This window comes from Homo sapiens, chromosome 19, assembly GCF_000001405.40.
Source record: "Homo sapiens chromosome 19, GRCh38.p14 Primary Assembly".
NCBI lineage: Eukaryota > Metazoa > Chordata > Mammalia > Primates > Hominidae > Homo > Homo sapiens.
The window spans coordinates 37,200,916-37,219,500 of NC_000019.10; the positions used below are offsets into that span (position 1 = coordinate 37,200,916).

Sequence of the window (18,585 nt, forward strand, 5' to 3'; positions counted from 1 at the left end):
CCCCATCTCTACTAAAAATACAAAAATTAGCCGGGCATGGTGACACACACCTGTAATCCCAGCTACTCCAGAGGCTGACGCAGGAGAATCGCTTGAACCCGGAAGCCAGAGACTACCATAAGGCAAGATCATGCCATTGCACTCCAGCCTGGCAACAGAGCAAGACTCCGTCTCAAAAAAAAAAAAAAAAAATTATCTTTCCACTGCCATACAGAAGAAATGTACAAGGACTCCAAAGGATGACAGTAAAAGGAGGAGCAAAGGCCTATCTGGAATTGCCAAAGGAAAGGAAGCAAGAACCTCCACCTTAATATTTGAGCTGAATTCTCACCAAAAAAATTAAATATGACAAGGACACAATCTGAAATGAATCTCAGATGCCATTACTGTCACTGCACCAAATTACATAGCATCAAAATTTATAAACTATAGGAAACTATAGGAAAATAATAGCAAGAAATACATTGGTGGTGGGAAACTTTACATAATATCTCCCAGCTCCATTTGATAAAGTAGAAAAAAATCATTAATACTATGAAAGCCTCATAACTATATAAGATATCTTATAAGTTACCAATAAAATCTTATTGCTAAGATATCAAATTCTATATCCTGGAAACAGATTTCCTGTTTACACAGTGCCGGTGTAACATTCAGAAATGTTAAACATAAAATTTTCAAAACAAAAAACACAAAAACCTTTAATGTTATGCCACATGCAAATAATTCTCTCCATCTCTGCAATCCTAATTTTATTAAAAGTAGAATATTTTAAATGAAAGTCTTAACATGTAGAAATGAAAATGTGGTAAGTGGTCAATGAAGACTTGGTGCTTGGTGGGAAACAATATGTTACTAGAATTTCATTCTTTTTTTCTAGATTTTTAAATGTAATTGCATAAGGTAAATTACTTCTCTAAATTATTTTTGGTACTGTTTTGCTAGACTGTGTACCATTACTTCTGATATACAGTATTTTTTTGAGGTATTTTACTATTTTAGTTTTTAGACTTCTTTGACTTTGGACTGGGCTGCTGAATGAGAAAACAGTGCTTGCTTCACTTTTTTCCCAGTGATAAACTATTAGTCTACTGTTTTCATCTACTCTTTTTTTTCTTTTTTGAGACAGAGTTTCGCTCTTGTTGCCCCGGCTGGAGTGAAATGGTGTGAACTCACCGCAACCTCCACCTCCTGGGTTCAAGTGATTCTCCTGCCTCAGCCTACCAGTAGCTGGGATTACAGGCGCCCGCCTAATTTTTGTATTTTTAATAGAGACAGGGTTTCATCACGTTAGCCAGGCTGGTCTCAAACTCCCGACCTCAGGTGATCCACCCTCCTTGGCCTACCAAAGTGCTAGGATTATAGGCGTGAGCCACGGCACCCGGCCTCATCTACTCTTGAATACAGTTAGTGAATACATTTGACTTCTGAATCTATTTATTTCCAGTTCTTTTGGGCATTGAAGTTAACTCTGTAAACAAAATAAAACAAAAACCTGAAACAAGGTTGAGAATAATTTCTGATATTATCTGTTACTCAAAACTTTGGCATGAAAATCAACTGTAAAATCACATGATCTTTTCCATCATTTTTGACTGCGTTGGGGGTGTTGAATCAACATTTTAATTCCTTTAAGGGCTTCTGTATAATTTGTTCTTACCGAGTTGAAAATTTATTTCTTATAAAATTTCATCCTTTTGTTTAGGTTTTCATATATTTGCATGGTTTTTTTTTTTTTTTTTTTGAGATGGAGTTTCGCGCTTGTTTTCCAGGCTGGAGTACAATGACGCAATCTCAGCTCACTGCAACCTCCGCCACCTGAGTTCAGGCGATTCTCCTGCCTCAGCCTCCTGAGTAGCTGGGATTACAGGTATGTGCCACCATGCCCAGTTAATTTTTGCATTTTTAGTAGAGACAGGGTTTTACCACGTTGGTCAGGCTGGTCTCGAACTCCTGACTTCAGGTGATCCACTGGCCCTGGTCTCCCAAAGTGCTGGGATTACAGGCATGAGCCACCACGCCCAGCCCTATTTGCATGATTTTACATAATACTCACTCGTGATTGTTTGAATCTTAGGTATAGAAGTAACTATTACTCCTGTTTTCTAACATATTTTGATTATGTTTATCTTCACTCTTTTTTCTTGATCATTAATATGGAGAAGCAACTTGTGTTTCTGTCACATTTTTATCAACCATTTTTTGTTCTCTGTGACTCATGTCTTTGCTTTTCTTTTTTTAGTCCTCGTTCTTTTTTGTATTTTTTGACTCATTCTTTTTGTAACTTCTTCAGTTGAAACCATAACTGCTTTTTTCCCAAAATTTCTAAGATTCCTTAAAAGGCACTTAATCTATAGTTTTCCCCTCTATCTACAGTTTAGCTTTACCACACGAACTTTAAAATGTAGTACTTTATTAGCAGGGCACAGTGGCAGGTGCCTGTAATTCCAGCTAGGAGGGAGGCTGAGGCAGGAGAATCACTTGAACCCAGGAGGCAGAGGTTGCAGTGAACTGAGATCGTGCCACCGCACTCCAGCCTGGGCAACATAGTAAGATCTTGTCACAAAAAAAAAAAAAAAAAAAAGTAGTACTTTATTGAACTATTTTGCGTTGTGGTAAAATATACATAAAATTTGCCATTATAATTATTTTTAAGTGTCCAGTTCAGTGGCATTAAGTACATTCACATTTTGTGCAAGAGCCTTTCTGTTTTGTTTTGTTTTGGTTTTTGAGATGGAGTTTCACTCTTGTTGTCCAGGCTAGAACGCAATGGTGTAATCTCGGCTCACCGAAACCTCCACCTCCCGGGTTCAAGCAATTCTCCTGCCTCAGCCTCCAGAGTAGCTGGGATTACAGGCATGGGCCACCACGCCCAGCTAATTTTGTATTTTTGGTGGAGACAGGGTTTCACTATGTTGGTCAGGCCAGTCTCAAACTCCCGACCTCAGGTGATCTGCCCGCCTCGGCCTCCCAAAGTGCTGGGATTACAGGCATGAGCCACCGCACCCAGCCTTCAAGAGCCTTTTACTTATTTGTAATTTAATGCTCTTTGTCAGAAAACAATCAATATTATAGCAAAGATTTATATTTTTTATCTGCTTTGATCAATAAGCTTCTGAAAGTAGTGTGATAAAATGGCCAATATTGCATTTAATGATTTCTGTTCATTTTTACTTAAAATAGTTCAAAGATACATTATTAATTAAAAAAATGCTAATAATTTGTATAATTCTTTGTACATGATTCTTTTCATAAGGATGAACAACATGTTTTCATCCCTTTAGGTGATTTTCATCTTAAATCCCTTTTGATCTGTTCCTAAATTGCAGCCCTAGCTTTCTTTTGGCTCACTCTCTTATTTTTAAATGAGGACAAAAGCAGTCCTAACCTCTGAGAGTTAGCCTCGTACTATCAATTAAGCCTCAGTGTTGCTAGAAGCTAACCTGGCAAGGGCCAGCTAATTCATGGTGTTCTCCATGGTGCTACACAAAAACAATCTCTTAGAACACCAACAGCAAACAAGACCAATCTCTGACCATCATGGTGTAAGATGATACCAAGACCACTCTGTCGTTATATTTGAGCATAGACAAAAATCAGAACATTCTTCAAACCACAAAAGTGAATAAAAGTCTCCTTATTCTGCCTAATGCAAGAGACTGCTGCTTTTTTCTTTTGAGACAAAGTCTATCTCTTTCATCCAGGCTGGAGTGCAGTGGCATGCTCATAGCTAGGTGTAATCTCGAACTCTTAGGCTCAAGTGATCCTCCTGCCTCAGCCTCCCGAGCAGGTGGGTCTATAGGCACACAGCACCATGCCAGACTAATTGTTTTTCTTTTTTTTTTTTTTGAGACAGAGGCTCACTCTGTCACCCAGACTGGAGTGCAGTGGTGCAATCTCAGCTCCCTGCAACCTCTGCCTCCTAGGTTCAAGCGATTCTCCTGCCTCAGCCTCCTGAGTAGCTGGGATTACAGGCGTACGCCACCATGCCTGACAAATATTTTTTATTTTTAGTAGAGACGGGGCGTCACCATGTTGGCTAGGCTGGTCTCGAACTCCTGACCTCAGGCAATCTGCCTGCCTCAGCCTCCCAAAGTGCTGGGATTATAAGTGTGAGCTACCGCACCAGGCCCAAACTAATTTTTAATTTAATTAAATTTTTTTTTTGGTAGTGACAGGGAATCACTACATTGCCAGGGCTGGTCTTGAACTTCTGGCCTCAAGCCATCCTCCCACCCTGGCTTTCCAGTGTTGGGATTACAGGTGTGAACGACCGTGCCCAGCCAACTGCTGCTGCTTTACCAACTGTAACTTTAGCCTCAAGCTATCCTTCCTATCTTCTAGAATAAAATTATTAAGATACTCAATCCTAAAACTGCCCAAGAGCAACTAAAGTAGAGGTTCACTGAGGTGCAGATGAGACTCTCACCACGTGACTAGAACCCTGAAATGAAATTCCACTACTTCTAATATATCCAATAGAAAGAGAAGGCATGACAATATCCACTGCGATATTGTTCATAATAGTTTCTGTATTTTACCAAACAAACATTAAAACAGCAATGTACAAAAAAGTTAATCTGCTATGCCATTCTGAAATCAAGAGAAAAAAATTGTAGTTGTTTTCATTTGTATACAGAACTAAGCAATCAAAGAAAATGAATAAAGCAGGTTATCACTACCGGGAGACACAGGTAGATGGAAGGCAGAGGTGGGTGAACCACAGTCCCATCTCTTTCACCATAATACTTTTCAATATATTGCTTTTCATATATTTCTAACTTTTGAACTAGGTATATGCATTGCCTATTCAAAAGATTAAACTATTCCTAATAAATTATCACAATATCTTCAGATGGATAAGAAATAACAATACACCCAGGCCGGGCATGGTGTCTCACACCTGTAATCCCAGCACTTTGGGAGGCCGAAGCAGGTGGATCACCTGAGGGTCAGGAGTTCGAGACCAGCGTGGCCCAGATGGTGAAACACCATCTCTACTAAAAATACAAAAATTAGCCAGGCGTGGTGGCTCGCACCTGTAATCTCAGCTACTCAGGAGGCTGGGGCAGGAGAATTGCTTGAACCTGGATGGCAGAGGTTGCAGTGAGCGGAGATCATGCCATTGCACTCCAGCCTAGGCAACAAGAGCAAAACTCCATCAATAAATAAATAAATAAATAAATAATTTAAAAAATAACATTACATCCATGAAATAAGAACGGGATGGCAATAAAAAAAAATTTAGGAAACAGGCTGGGAACAGTGGCTCATGCCTGTAATCCCAGCACTTTGGGAGGCTGAGGTGGGCAGATCACCTGAGATCAGGAGTTCGAGATCAGCCTGATCAACACGGAGAAACCCCGTCTCTACTAAAAATACAAAATTAGCCGAACGAGGTGGCACATGCCTGTAGTCCCAGCTATTTGAGAGGCTGAGGCAGGAGAATCTCTTGAACCCAGGAGGCGGAGGTTGCAGTGAGCCGAGATCATGCCATTGTACTCCAGCCTGGGCAATGAGAGCAAAACTCTGTTTCAAAAAAAAAAAAAAAAATTTTAGGAAACAAACTAGAGTTTTTAAAAATTAAAACATTAAGTTAAAATGTGGATAGTGGTAATGAGAAGCTCAATAGAAGGGCTGGAAGGCAAAAGGTGTCAAAGTTACCCAGAATGGATAGCAGGAAATACATAGAAAATAGTAGAGAAAAGAAATGGAGAAGCAACATCTGAAAAACAAGTTTCAGAAAGAAAACAGAGAAAACATTTGTGTTTGAGGAGGTGGTTTAGGAAGAAATGAAAAAATGCTTTCAAAATCTCAAACAAAAGTCACTTCTAACAAGGAATTCTATTTGCAGCCAAAACATCAATATAGCGTGATGACAAAATCAACAACAGTTTTCCTTGACAGTGCACCTCTCCACTGTCACACAGGTGGCCTCCAGAGACGGAGACATTACCCACGTGTTCATTCTTGACAGGAAGATCAAGTTTTCTTTCAGGAGCACCAAGTCTAGAGTCCAGCTGGTTCCTAAGGCCTGTCTGCCTCTGCCCTAAGGCTGTGGTGACAGATTAGAGCTATCTACTCTTGGACTGAAATTCCACCCCTTGGGACTCCTCCTCCTCACCTCATAGGAGCTGCCATGATCCTCTGGAGCCAGGGCTGAGGATTTCTGGGGTGAGGTCCAACTAGCTGGCATGGCCACACTGGATCTCAACCCTTTTTGTCTAGGGTGCCTGAAGTTTAGTGGTCATCTGTGAACTCAGCAGAGCTGCTCCGAAGAGGTGGGCTGGAGTCTGGAGGAAGGTCTGGCCCAGGGACTCCCCAGAGACACCCAAGAACCTAGAAAAACAATGTCCACGTAGTCATTCAACATTCACTACATAAACACTTCCTGGATACACCAAGGTGCAGGTCCCTGCGCTAGAAACCAGAGCAGTGGTTCCCAAACGTAGGTATGCATTCAAGTCACCTGGAGGGCTTGTTAAAACATAGTTTAAAATTCTCAACTTCACCCCTTCGATGGGTCTAAGGTAGGCCCTAAGAATTTTATTTTCTAATAAGTGCCCAGGAAATGCTGATGCTGCTGGTACAAGAACCACACTTTCAGAACTGTGGAGAACAGTGCTGAAATATGGGAAAAGCCATGAAATTTAGAGTAACATTACTGCAGATTTGAACTGCAGCTGTACCACTTTTCAACAATGAGAATATAAAGAAGTTACTCAGATTTTGTTTCAGAAATAAGGATGAAAATGCCTGTGTCACAGTTACTAAGATTAAATGAGATTATGCTTTTAAAGTACTCAATGCCTCCCTGCCATGCAAGAATCACGCAATAAATATCAGCAATTACCATGCACTATATTAAAACGTAATACAGAAAACCATGTCATCAAAACAAGTAAGATAATAAACATATCAGACAATGTTGATCTATATATGAAATAAAAATGATATGCGATTGAGTGTGCACACGGCATTCATTGTATACATATCCCCAATTGGTGCATGCAATTGGCCATGCATCTGGAATAAAACAAACTAGATCTCCACCTCACACAATATTTTTTTCTTTTAAGATGGGGTCTCGCTCTGTGGCCAGGCTGGAGTGCAGTGACACAACCTCATCTCACTGCAACCTCCACCTCCAGAGTTCAAGTGATTCTACTGCCTCAGCCTCCCAAGTAGCTGGGACTACAGGCATGCGACACCACGCCCAGCTAATTTTTGTATTTTTAGTAGAGTCAGGGTTTCACCATGTTGGCTGGGATGATCTTGATCTCCTGACCTTGTGATCCGCCTGCCTCGGCCTCCCAAAGTGCTGGGATTACAGGCGTGAGCCACCGCGCCCAACCCACCTCACACTATTAAGTAGACAAATTCCAGGAGCACTAAACATTTAAATACATGCATTTTTTAAAACCCCTAAGGATATTAAAATAATTTTCAGACTATATATTTGTATAGCATTGTGGTGGGGTGATAAGGATCTTATTACACATGACAGGAAACCCAGAAGCTATAACAGAAAAAAACAGGTATTTCTGATTATGTTTCCTAATTATATGTTTAAATAAACCATAAAATTCGACATAAAGATATATAAGAAATTTTTTCAATATGTGATGATAGCTTGCTTGTAATGTTAACTCTAAGCAATCACTAAGCAAAAAAGGCCAAAAAAAAAAATAAAAGAAACTGGAAAAGGTATGAAAATTCAGAGAAAAGGAAGCAAATGGCAATTAACAAAAAGATACCAACTTAACTAAAAGAAAAACGCGTCAGAACAATTAGAGAGAAATTTTCCTTAGAATCATAAAAGCTTTAAAAAAGTAACAGACCAAGCACAATGGATCACTTGAGGCCAGGAGTTCGAGACCAGCCTGGCCAACATGGCGAAACGCTGTCTCTACTAAAAATACAAAAATTAGCCAGGCGTGGTGGCGGGCACTTGAAATCCCAGCTACTCAAGAGGCTAAGACAGGAGAATAGCTTGAACCAGGGAAGCAGAGGTTGCAATGAGCGGAGATCACGGCATTGCACTCCAGCCTGGGCGACAGAGCAAGACTCTGTCTCAAAAAAAAAAGTGACAACATCCACTGTTGGAAAGCATTTAGGCAAATTGCTTTTATAAATTATTGGTTGAAGCTTGAATTGCTATAATGTCTTTTGAGCTATTTAGTCATATCTATTTTTTTATTTTTTTGAGATGGAGTTTCACTCTTGTCGCCCCGGCTGGAGTGCAATGGCATGATCTTGGCTCACTGCGACCTCCGCCTCCCAGGTTCAAGTGATTCTTCTGCCTCAGCCTCCCGAGTAGTTGGGATTACAGGCACCCACCACCACACCCAGCTAATTTTTGTATTTTTGGTTAGAGGTGTTTTTCCATGTTGGCCAGGCTGGTCTCGAACTCCTGACCTCAGGTGATCTGCCCACCTTGGCCACCCAAAGTGCTGGGATTACAGGCGTGAGCCACCAGGCCCGGTCAGTCATATCTAGCAATACACTCAACTGATCCCAATAATATAGTTTTAAATATATAAAGCAGAAACAGAAGAAAGGACAGGTGGACAAATAACTTTTCCAATGTGAGTAGTTTACCTTCCTCAACAAAATAATCTGTGAGGAGATACATAATATATATAACATATGATTAATATCCATAACAATACAAATTAGAGAACATATTACACTCTTTTCATGTAATAGATGTGACATTTATGAAAAATGAGGAAGAACTAGGCCATAAAGCAATTGTTCAACTGAAGCATCACCTACAGACACTAATTGAAACATAAAGTGCACTTCTTTTTTTTTTTTTTTTTTTTGGTGCTCTGTGGCCCAGGCTGGAGTGCAGTGGCAAGATCTGGGCTCACCGCAAGCTCCGCCTCCCGGGTTCACGCCATTCTCCTGCCTCAGCCTCCAGAGTAGCTGGGACTACAGGCGCCCGCCACCACGCCCGGCTAATTTTTTGTATTTTTAGTAGAGACGGGGTTTCACCGTGTTAGCAAGGATGGTCTCGATCTCCTGACCTCATGATCCGCCCGCCTGGGTCTCCCAAAGTGCTGGGATTACAGGTTTGAGCCACCGCGCCCGGCCATAAAGTGCACTTCTAAACAGCTCATGGGTCAAAGAAAAACAATTACTGAAAAAAATTTTTAAACACTTAGATTTGAACAATACGAAACTGCTACACATCAAAACTTGTTAATCTTTATATTACAGGCTGAAATGGAAAGAACTGAACTTTCAACTCAGGTCAGAAAGCAAGCTGATCACAGTCCTCACCGACCACCATAGCTGACCCTACAGGCCCTCAGTCACTGACCACAGACTCCCGTCACTGACCCCCAAACCCCAATCACTCATCCCAAAGAGCCCCATCAATGACCCGAGAAATCCCTGTCACAGACAACCATCAACGGACGTCACAGACCCCCATCACCATGCCCCGAAACCACCATCACTAATTCCACAGACAACTCCTCTATTACTGACTTCACAGAATCCCTAATTGCAACCAACCAAAATCGTCACAGAGACCTCTCGGCATTAAAACGTGAAAATAGTCCTGACGCCAGCGGCGAAATAGCCTTCGGGGACCACTTCCACTTCCGGTCCGACTTCTAGCACCTCCCCTTATGGACTGTTGATATTGCGCATGCTCTAAATTAACTTGGAAGCCAATTTCAGCCCACAGTCAACAGGGAGCACACACATATTTAGAGACATCGTGCAGTTTCCGTAATCGGCGCTCACGGGCAGAGAATATAACCGCGCCCTTATGGTGTTTATTTGTGTGGGTCGCCATCTTTGATGCGTATCGATTCCGTACAGTGGAGGAGTCCGCCTCCTGGAGTGTTGACTAGAGTAAGGCAAGGATTTTCACATAGAATGCAAGACTGTAACCAGTGTGACCACGCTTGTACCCAAGAAGAAGTTCCTGAAGATAGGATCTGGAGCTTTATGTTTTTTTTTGTTTGTTTGTTTGTTTTGAGACAGAGTCTTGTTCTGTCGCCCAGGCTGGAGTGCAGTGGCGCCATCTCGGCTCACTGCAACCTCTGCCTCCCAGGTTCAAGCGATTCTCCTGCCTCTGCCTCCCGAGTAGCTGGGATTACAGGCAAGCGCCACCACACCCAGCTAATTTTTTTGTATTTTTAGTAGAGACGCAGTTTCACGTCTCTACTGGTCACGCTGGTCTCGAACTCCTGACCTCAAATGATCCACCCACCACGGCCTCCCAAAATGCTGGGGTTATAGGCGTGAGCCACCGCCTCCGGCTGTTATATTTACAATACCTAAGTTACCCCTTGGTTACGGCACACTGCAGAAAACAACGATTTACTAGGAGAAACCATGGGGGAACTAGGAAGCCAGGGATCCTGAGAGAAATAAGGGAGATAAGAGGAGGCATCAGGATGGTACAATCTATTTTTTGGAGACACCACTCAGGAGAAGGGTGGACTGGGATCTGAGTTCACTCCTGGGTGAAACCACTAGGCAAGACGGAGTTATGTCACAGTAGGTAGTATCCTGCAGGAAGGGAGGTACAATTTTTAGTAGTTGAAAACACATTAGGAAATAGGGTAGAAGTTGGGTTAGTACAATCCTCTTCTAGGAGATACCATGGAAGAGGGGTTAGAAGTCTAAGCATCCCCTTTGAAACGGCTGGTAGAAGGCTTTGGGAGGTATAGATATTTTAATCCCCTTAATCTCCATCAGCATCCACCCTAGCTAACTCAAGCACAACTATAGTAAGCAGCAACAATAAAAATAATAATAGTCTTGGCTGGTCGTGGTGGTTCATGCCTGTAATCCCAGCACTTTGGGAGGCCGAGGCGGGCACATCACCTTAGGTGGGGAGTTCGAGACCAGCCTGACCAACATGGTGAAACCCCGTCTCTACTAAAAATACAAAATTAGCTGGGCATGGTGGTGTGTGCCTATAATCCCAGCTACTTGGGGGGCTGAGGCAGGAGAATCGCTTGAACCCAGAAGGCGGAGGTTGCAGTGAGCCGAGATCATGCCATTGCACTCTAGCCTGGGCAACAAGAGCAAAACTCCATCTCAAAACAACAACAACAACAACAACAGCACAATAATAATAATAACAGTCTTTAATATGGCCAACGTGTGACTAAAAACACCTGAAGAAAATCTTGCTTTTTTTTTTTTTTTTTTTTTGAGACAGAGTCTCACTCTGTCACCCAGGCTGGAGTGTAATGGCACAATCATGGCTCACTGCAACCTTGACTGCCCAGGCTCAAAAGCAATCCCAGCTGGGCGCAGTGGCTCATGCCTGTAATCCCAACGCATTGGGAGGCCGAGGCAGGTGGATCATGAGGTCAAGAGATCGAGACCATCCTAGCCAACATGGTGAAACCCTGCCTCTACTAAAAATACAAAAATTAGCTGGGTGTGGTGGCGTGCGCCTGTAGTACCAGCTACTTGGGAGGCTGAGGCAGTAGAATCACTTGAACCCAGGAGGTGGAGGTTGCAGGGAGCTGAGATGGAGCCACTGCACTCCAGCCTGGTGACAGAGTGAGACTCCAAAGAACTGGGATTACAGGCGTGAGCCTCCGAGCCCGGCCAGGGAGTTTTGTTTTTTTTTTTTTTTGATTGCAAAGAGATGTTGAATTTTGTCAAATGCTTTTTCTGTTTCTATTGAGATGACCATATGATTTTTGTCCTTCATTCTGTCAATGTGATGTATTGCACATACTAATCTGCATATGTTAAACCATCTTTGCTTCCCTGGGATAAGTCCCACTTGATCATTGTGTATCTTTTTGACATGCTATTGGATTTGGTTTGCTAGTATTTTGTTGAGGATTTTTGCATCTGCGTTTATCAGGGATCTTGGCCTGTAGTTTTCTCTTTCTTCTGTCTTTGCCTGGTTTTAGTATGAGGATGGTGCTGGCCTCACAGAATCAGTTTGGAAAAATTCCTTCCCCTTCAATTTTTTTGGATTAGTTTGAGAAATATTAGAATTTGTTCTCCCTTAAAAGTTTGGTAGAATCAAATCCAAGAAGGGGATGATGAGAACCTCTAATTTTCAGGCAAACTGGGCAGTTGTTGGTAATCAGGTGACCTAGTAGTTGTCATTGGCATCTGAAGAGGTGGGCAGTCTTGTGGGACTGAGCAATTAAACTGTAAGGTCTGTGCTAACTCAGGTTAGTGTCAGAATTGAATTCAATTGTAGGACACCCATGTAGGGAGGGCTGGAGAAGTGGTGTCAGAAAAACTCCACATATTTTGTGTTAAAAACGAAACATTCTGGAAGTATTGAGTGTTGTGAGAGTATATATTTTTAAAACCAGTTTGTTTTTCCTATGCAACTGTATAAAAAGACATATCAAGTCTCACTCCCCCCACCACCCCAATCACTATAGGTTATCACTATAGGTATTGTTTCTGGTTCACGTTTCCAATACTTCTTTTTTCCTATCTTTTCTTTTTTTAGTGAATATAAACAAATGCTTATATCTAATCTAATTTCCTTTTCTTTTTTAGACGAACTATATGTTACACTGTTCTATACTTTCCATTTTTTATATATTCCAGAGTTAATGTCATTCCGTAGAGAGCTTCGTTTTTTTTTTTTTCTGCTGTGTGTGTATGGGCTGCATAAAACTTTATGATGTGACTGTGGTGATTTGAGCTGCTACCTTTATCAAATACTAAGCATCTATGTGGATGTTAATTTCTTTTTTTTTTGAGATGAAGTCTCACTCTGTCACCAGGCTGTAGCGCAGTGGCACAATCTCAGCTCACTGCAACCTCTGCCTCCCAGGTTCAAGCGATTCTCCTGCCTCAGCCTCCCGAGTAGCTGGGACTACAGGCGCGTGCCACCACACCCAGCTAATTTTTGTATTTTTAGTAGAGACGGGGTTTCATCATGTTGGCCAGGATGGTCTCGATCTCTTCACCTCATGATTCACCCGCCTTGGCCTCCCAAAGTGCTGGGATTACAGGTGTGAGCCACCGTGCCTGGCCGGGATGTTAATTTCTTTCTTTCTTTCTTTTTTTGAGACGGAGTTTTGCTCCTGTTGCCCAGGCTGGAGTGCAGTGGCTTAATCTCGGCTCACTGCAACCTCCGCCTCCCAGGTTCAAGCAATTCTCCTGCCTCAGCCTCCTGAGTAGCTGGGATGACAGGCGCATGCCACCATGCCCAGCTTATTTTTTGTATTTTTAGTAGAGATGGGGTTTCATCATGTTGGCCAGGCTGGTCTCGAACTCCTGACCTCAGGTGATCCACCCACCTCGGCCACCCAAAGGGCTGGGCGTGAGCCACCGCGCCCGGCCATGGATGTTTATTTCTCCATTTCCCATCCTCCTCCCTTTGTCTGTCTCTCTAACCACACACAAATAGCACACTGTTTTAAGTATAGAGGCTTTATCATGTACCTCATATAACTTCATGTAACTTCAATTCTACTTTCTGTCTCTATGAATACACCTATTCTAGGCACCTCATATAAGTGGATTCATACAATATTTGTCCTTTTGGTCTGGCTTATCTCACTCCGCATAGTGTTGAAAAAGAAAATAAATGGCTTTTATCTGAGGAATGCAAGCCTTCTTTATGTGATCAAGCCCAGAGAGGGGTTGGGATGACACAGCTGTTGTGGTGGCTCATGCCTGTAATCCCAGCACTTTGGGAGGCCTCGGTGGGAGGATTACTTGAGGCCCGGAGTTTGAAACTAGACTGGGCAACATAACTAAACCCTCTCTCTATAAATTTTTTTTTCAATTAGCCAGGTGTGGTGGTGTACACCAATAGTCCCAGCTACTCAGAAGGCCTAGGCGGAAGGATGCTTAAGTCCAGGAGTATGAGGCTGCAGTGAGCTGTGATCATACCTCTGCATTCCAGCCTGGGAGACAGAGCAAGACCTTGTCTCTAAAAAAAAAAAAAAAAAAAAAAAATGCTGGGTGCAGTGGCTCACACCTGTAATCCCAGTACTTCGGGAGGCCAAGGCAGGCAGATCACTTGAGGTCAGGAGTTCAAGACCAGCCTAGCCAACATGATGAAACCCTGTCTCTACTTAAAAAAAAAAAAAAAAAAAAAAAAAAAAAGGAAAGAAAAATTAGCCGGGCATGGTGGTGGGTGCCTGTAATCTCAGCTACTAGGGAGGCTGAGGCAGGAGAATCACTTGAACCCAGGAGGCAGACGTTGCAGTGAGCCGAGATCCCACCACTGCACTCCAGCTTGGGCAACAGAGGGAGACCCCATCTCAAAATAAATAAATAAAAATTAAAAAAATAAATTAAAAATTAAAAAAAAGAAATGAGTTTTTTCTGCTCTAAAATCAAAAGTTTGCAAGCTGCATTCCTTTCTGGAGGCTCTGGAGAATTTGTTTTTTTTCATTTTCCAAGTTGGAGAAGCTGCCTGCATTCCTCAGCTCATGGGCTCCTTTCATCTTTACACCCAATAATGGCTGGTCGTGTGTTTCTCACAGCACACAATTCCAACACTGACTTTATGCCTTCTTCCTCATTTCAGACCCCATGTGATTACATTGGGTCTAACTGGACAATCCAGTATAATTCCCCTATGTTAAGGTCAGCCGATTAGCAACTTTAATTCTACCTGTTAATTTAATTCCACTTGCCATGTAACATAGCATATTCACAAGTCCCAGGAACTAGCATGTGGGTATTTTGGGGGGAACATTATCCTGCCTACTTTAGATGTTGAGGTCATTCAAGAGGAAAATGATAGTTTTGTTAACATGTGATGTTAGAACAACTGAATTTCCATCTGGAAAATAATAACTTTGAACATTACCTCACATACACAAAAACTAACTTCAAGTGGATGATAGACCAAAAATAAAAACTAAAACTATACAACCTTTAGAATAAAACATAGGAGAAATTCTTCACAACACTAGAGGAGTCAAAGATTGTTAGAAAGACCAGAAAGCATGAAGCACATTTTAAAGATGAGAAATTGGATTTCATCAGAAGTAAAAACTGCTTTTTGAAAGACATCATGAAGAAACTGAGGGCTGGGCACAGTGACTCACACCTGTAATAACACAGTGAGACCCCATCTCCACAAAACACAAGAAAATTAGTTGGGGGTGGTGGTGCACACCTGCAGTCCCAGCTACTCAGGAGGATCGACTAAACCCAGGAGGTCAAGGCTGTGGTGAGCTATGTTAACACCACTGCACTCCAGACTAGGCAACAGAGCAAGACCCTGTCTCAAAAAAAAAAAAAAAAAAAAACTGAGAAGGTAAGCCCCAGGCAGGGAGAGAATATTTGCAATTTGCAATATGTATATTTGGCAAAGGACTTTTACCCAAACATATAAAGAATTGTTACAACTCAATAATAACCAATTTTAAAATAAGAAAATTTTATTTATTTATTTATTTATTATTATTTTTTGAGATGCAGTTTTGCTCTTGTTGCCCTAGCTGGAGTGCAACAGTGTGATCTCAGCTCACAGCAACCTCTGCCTCCCGGGTTCAAGTGATTCTCCTGCAGGGATTACAGGCATGCACCGCCACGCCTGGCCAATTTCGTATTTTTAGTAGAGACGGTGTTTCTCCACGTTGGTCAGGGTGGTCTCGAACTCCCAACCTCAGGTGATCTGCCCGCCTCAGCCTCCCAAAGTGCTAGGATTACAGGCGTGAGCCACTGCGCCCAGCCGAATATTTTCAATAGATGTCACAAAAGAAGATAAAAGAATGGCAAATAAGTATATGAAAGTATGCTAAGTTCATTGACATCAGGAAATGCAAATTAAAAACATAATTTGATACTACTGCTCATTCCTTAGAATAGTCAATAGATGCCTGATGTGGGGTTTGGGAGGTGGGGATTGACTTAACAATGTGGGGGGCAGAGGGCGGTGAATAAAAATATTCTATATCCGCCGGGCGCGGTGGCTCACGCTTGTAATCTCAGCACTTTGGGAGGCCGAGGCGAGCGGATCACGAAGTCAGAAGTTCGAGGTCGGGAGTTCGAGACCAGCCTGTGAGCTCGAACCCTGTCTCTACTAAAAATACAAAAATTAGCCAGGCATGGTGGCGGGCACCTGTAATACCAGCTACTCGGAAGGCTGAGGCAGGAGAATCGCTTGAACCCGGGAGGCGGAACTTGCAGTGAGCCGAGATCTCGCCACTGCAGTCCAGCCTGGGTGACAGCTAGACTCCAACTCAAAAAAAAAAAAAAAAAAATTCTATATCCAGTAACACTAAGGATAAATGCTTGAGGGGATAGACACCCTATTTTACATGATATGATTCTTACGCATTGCATGCCTGTATCAAAACATCTCATGTACCCCATATACAACTACTATGTACCCACAAAAATTTAACTAAAATGCTTAAAAATTTTTTAATTTTAAAAAATATTCTATATCCTGATTACGATGGTGGTGACAAGGGTTTAGACATGCGTTGAAGCTTACCGAACAGTTCACTTAAAATGAGTGCATTTTATTGTATCTAAATTATTCTTCAGTAAAGTTGATTTTTAAAAAACATGCACACAAATATAATTTACAAACTATAACATTAGCTCGTTTATGGTGTACCATTCAGTCACTTTTAGTGTATTCAGAGTTGTGCAAACATCATTATCTAATTCAAGAAGCTTTGCATTACCCCAAAAATGAACCCTTTAGCTATTACCAATCACTCACAGTTCCCCCTAATCCTGCTAGTCCTAAAAAACTCTAACTTACTCCTTTTCCGTAGATTTGACTATTTTAAATATTTCCTATAAATGCAGTCATACAGTATGTGGCTTATCCACGGATGAAGGCAAAAATGACGATTTAGTCAGTCTAGCATTCTCAGAGAGCGTTATAACGCCTAGTACAGTCCGGGGTCCTGGGTGCGTTCTGCACTGAGTCGGCTTGGGGCAGGAAGTCATTTAAGCGACCTCCTTCCACTTGCCCCAGCGCCTCACCCCTTCCTGCTCTAGACTACAGTTCCCAAAAATCCTTGCGGCTCTAGTCAACATCTGGCCCGAAGCTGGCGACCTTTTCCTGTTTCTCAGGGAACTCCCTGGGGTTGGCCGGTACCATGGAGGAAGATTGTCTTCAGCGTGCAGGGCCAGCGTCCTACGGCAGTTTCACTCTGAGCCTGTGTCTGGATCACGGAGACGCGGGGTAGCGGTTCGGAGTGCGGAGCAGGGATGTCCCCGAGCTGTGCAGCTGCAAGAACCCGAAAAAACAGGCGCCATCTTCTCGGCGCGGTCCTACTCCGGACTGTATTTCCCAGAGGCCCCCGCGAGTCCAGGGCAGCCCCTTCATTTGCCTGCTGGACCCTCCGCCTCAAGGGTAGGGGAAGTGCGCGGTGAGCGGCCTGGGTCTTGCAGGCTCGGCTGGGGCCCGCAGGTACGTGCATGGGAGTTTGAAGGGACTGACCAGGCTGGTCTGGAGTGTTGGGCATGTATGAGTGTGTCGGGCATGTATGAGTTGGTCGGGCTGATAGAGGGGGTGGTGGGGAGGCGGGCGCGAGGCGTGGGCTTCCGTGTGTGAGTGTGACCTTATGTGACTGTGCCTCTCTGTGTGCGCGGGTGTGATTGTATATCCTCGTTGTAGTTGTGTAATTGTAACAATGTAAGGCTGTATGTGTAGGTATGACTGTGTCCCGTGTTGGGACTGTGATTGTGTGTGGCTGTGTAACTTTGCGTGACATTTGTGGAGGGTGTTTGTGTGGAGAGAATCTGATGAGGCTGTGACTGTGTGTTAGTCTGAGGGGTGTGTGTAATTGTGTTTGTATGACTGTTAGCAGCACTTAAGTGTACTGGATGCCTTACTGAGTAAATCTACTACCCAGAAATAACCCAGTAACGTGAGAATGTGAGAGTGTGACCATGTAACTTTATGTAGCACTGTGTCTGCGGTTGGAAAGTGCGTGTAATCGTGCCGGGGTGATATGTGTGTCCTAGTGGTCATTGTGTTATTTTGAATGTGTGATTGTGTGTAGTGCTCAATAGGGGTCCTGGGGAGGGGGGAACTGTAACTTTGTGTGGCTCAGTAGTGCGTGTGGTATTGTGACTATCTGTAGCACTCTGGTTCTGAATGGTGCTATGTTTGAGGGGTCTGTAAATATGCTAGTGTAACTTATCCTCAAGGTAGATGTGGGACAATGATTGTGTGACCATATATAGTGTTATTGTTTGGGTGAGGCGTGCCTGTGGAGGTCTATGTGGGTCCCCATGGTGGCTGGGTGACTGCAGCATTGGGTAGGGGGTGCTTGTGACTGTCTTTGTGACTCCAGCTCTCCCTGTGAGGTCAGGACAGATTCTCGAGAGGAGAGACCTCACCCCTCTGATACCAAGAATGCTCATGACAGCCTACACTTCTCTGTTTTTGTTTTGTTTTGTTTTAAGGCGGAGTTTCGCTGTTGTTGCCCAGGCTGGAGTGCAATGGCGCAATCTCGGCTCACCGCAACCTCCGCCTCCCCGGTTCAAGCAATTCTCCTGCCTCAGCCTTCCTAGTAGCTGGGATTACAGGCGTGTGTCACCACGCCCTGCTAATTTTGTATTTTCAGTAGAGACGGGGTTTCTCCGTGTTGGTCAGGCTGGTCTCGACCTCCCCACCTCAGGTGATCCGCC

The 18,585-nt window shown here is 43.1% G+C and overlaps 2 protein-coding genes across 14 annotated transcripts in view, besides 1 other annotated feature; one reads left to right on the forward strand and one right to left on the reverse strand.

Annotated features, from left to right (window-relative positions):
• The window catches only part of ZNF585B (zinc finger protein 585B), a 28,958-nt gene extending 19,337 nt beyond the window's left edge, over window positions 1–9,621 (reverse strand). Inside the window, exons 1-2 of the mRNA NM_152279.4 lie at window positions 9,526–9,621; window positions 6,125–6,339 (exon numbers count right to left, since the gene is read on the reverse strand). Of these exons, the coding sequence (NP_689492.3) occupies window positions 6,125–6,196 (72 nt within the window). The 5' untranslated portion in view covers window positions 6,197–6,339; window positions 9,526–9,621. The remainder of the gene's footprint in view (window positions 1–6,124; window positions 6,340–9,525) is intronic.
• Window positions 16,925–17,414: an enhancer, noted in NCBI's record as "active region_14540". NCBI's record gives its function as "activates an Ori minimal core promoter by ATAC-STARR-seq in GM12878 lymphoblastoid cells {active_cell/tissue: GM12878}" and the evidence as "EXISTENCE:reporter gene assay evidence [ECO:0000049][PMID:35858748]".
• Window positions 17,299–18,585, forward strand: part of ZNF383 (zinc finger protein 383) — a 30,527-nt gene continuing 29,240 nt past the window's right edge. For 8 of the 13 annotated variants that reach the window (NM_001387594.1, NM_001387593.1, NM_001345948.2 and 5 more), the window contains exon 1: window positions 17,299–17,359. The gene's annotated coding sequence lies outside the window, so the exon portion shown is untranslated. Of the gene's footprint in view, window positions 18,576–18,585 lie in introns of all 13 variants that reach the window. The other 5 variants (NM_001387597.1, NM_001387595.1, NM_001345949.3 and 2 more) reach the window with 4 other exon arrangements.